The sequence below is a fragment of the Homo sapiens genome, chromosome 2 (genome assembly GCF_000001405.40).
Source record: "Homo sapiens chromosome 2, GRCh38.p14 Primary Assembly".
NCBI classification, from domain to species: domain Eukaryota; kingdom Metazoa; phylum Chordata; class Mammalia; order Primates; family Hominidae; genus Homo; species Homo sapiens.
Genome location: NC_000002.12, coordinates 91,940,805 through 91,942,849, shown reverse-complemented (window position 1 = coordinate 91,942,849; position 2,045 = coordinate 91,940,805). Strand labels below are relative to the sequence as shown.

The window sequence follows — 2,045 nt, the reverse complement described above, 5'->3', positions numbered from 1 at the left end:
AAGGGTAGGGTCTGTGTGATATTTCTCTTTGATTCTTGATCTTGGGAATTAGTGTCTTCTTTCTTTTTTCTTGGTCAATTTAACTAAATATTATTTATCTTCTTGACTTTCTGAAATAAGCAATTTTGGGTTTCTTTGGTTGTTTTTAATGTTATCCTGTTCTGTATTTATCGTTTTCCACTGTGACATTTTTATTTCATACATCCTACTTACTTTTGGCTTGGTTTACTCATCTTTTTCTAGAGTCTTAAGATGGAAGTTTTAATTATGAATTTTAGATTATTTTTTCTTTCTGTTTTAAAGCTATACATTTTCCTCTATACACTGCTTTAATTGCATCCTGTAAATATTGCTATGTTATTGGTTTTTTGTATTTTGTTTATAACATTTTATTTATAAAAATAGGCTGGGGGAAAAGGATTTATACCACTGCATTCTTTCCTGGGGGAGAACTATTTTGGGCCATTTTTGAAATTTTTTTTCCTCTTAACAATTTTCAGAGTCACATTTGAATTCCTTCAGAATGGTATTTGTCAACAAAAAAGTTCAAGTGAAAAGGGGGAGGAAAACTGTGGAAGCATGAAGAAAGGGAGTGAGAGAAGGAGGAGTGGGCATACAACAGTCAACACATAAAGAAATGGCTTTTACTGAAATGACTCTGCCCTGTGCCTCATGCACTAGGTGATGCAAGCATGCTGCTCAGACATCAACACCAAATGTCATTTAGAAATGGTAGTCTTCTCTGGGTTCTGAAGGACACTTGTTCCCCAACATGACACTATTAAATGGTGCTTTCAAGGCAGACACTAAGACATTACTCCAAAGAGAAGGTTCTGGTGGCAGATGCTGGGACCATATTCTTTATAGTCCTTCTTGGTGTGACAGACCTGAAATAACTCCAGAGTTGAGGCTAGCATTAAGCTTCCAAACCATAAGGCATAGTGCTGCATGTGATGGATTACCACCCGAACCTCTGTAAGCTTAGGTTTGATTCTCCTGCCACTGAGCTCCTTACTGAGTTTTAATCTGGCATGTACCACTCTTCAAATCTCTCTGTAGTTGAGATTCAAATACCTGAATATGGTCAAACCCCTTGAAAGAACAACATTCTTATACAGTGGACAATACACATCAGTGGGACAGTTTTGTATTCATCAACAACATTCAAGATGGATTCCATAAAGTCTGGGTTGGCAAACTCTGGGTAAAAAAATATTTCAGGTTGCAGGAACCTTTTGTAACCAACGTTTATTATGAACTTCTCCTGGTTGATCACATTGATACCTGTGTACTGTTTCATCCACTTCCAGGGATCCACATCATACTTAGCAAATTCTTTGACTATATCAGGGCAAATGTAACAGTATTTCTCCTTAATGACTTTTGTGGTCTCCAGTGACTGCTCAAGAGGGATTCCTACCTCCCTCTCCCTTAGCAGTTGTTGAATGAAATACACAGTATCACCTACAATCAGGATGTGATTGATGCAGCTCCCAATTACATAACCTTCTACAACTGGGAGAACAAGGGTGACTCCATCTCCTTTGTCAATGACTATACTCATTAACATATATTCACCCACTTGTTGAGATGTCCAAGATACTTCCAAGGCTAGTACCTCCTGAACTGCAATGTAGAATCCTGGTACATTAAATAATTCAAACATAATTTCTGCAAAAATGTTCTGTATTTTCTAGTGTATTCAGTGGAAGTTCTGTCATTAAAAAATAATGGTCCTCAGATTCTGCTCAAAGATATTTAAAAACCACTTGCTCCATGAACCTTTCCATAATATCCCAGTCTTCAGTGATTCCATGTCATATTGACCACTTTGTAGCATACATAGATTTATCAATGGCTTCATCCTGTATGAAAAAGTCAAGCTCATCAACTCCCCTCAACATTCTCCCTTGGGCTTTGTCAACTACCTTTGCTGACTCTCTGATAGAAATGCATGAAAGAATAGTAAACTATGGCTCAGTGTTGCCTGCACAGCCAAGCTCGGAATATCTGCTGAGGTGATCACAGGGCTGAGACCCAGAGCA

General features: G+C 37.8%; 1 pseudogene across 1 annotated transcript; it reads right to left on the bottom strand.

Moving 5' to 3' along the window:
• Window positions 1-379: 379 nt before the first annotated feature.
• Window positions 380-1,717, bottom strand: ACTR3BP2 (ACTR3B pseudogene 2; annotated as a pseudogene). The gene has a single exon (NR_027714.1). The product of NR_027714.1 is annotated as an ACTR3B pseudogene 2 (transcript).
• Window positions 1,718-2,045: the final 328 nt, after the last annotated feature.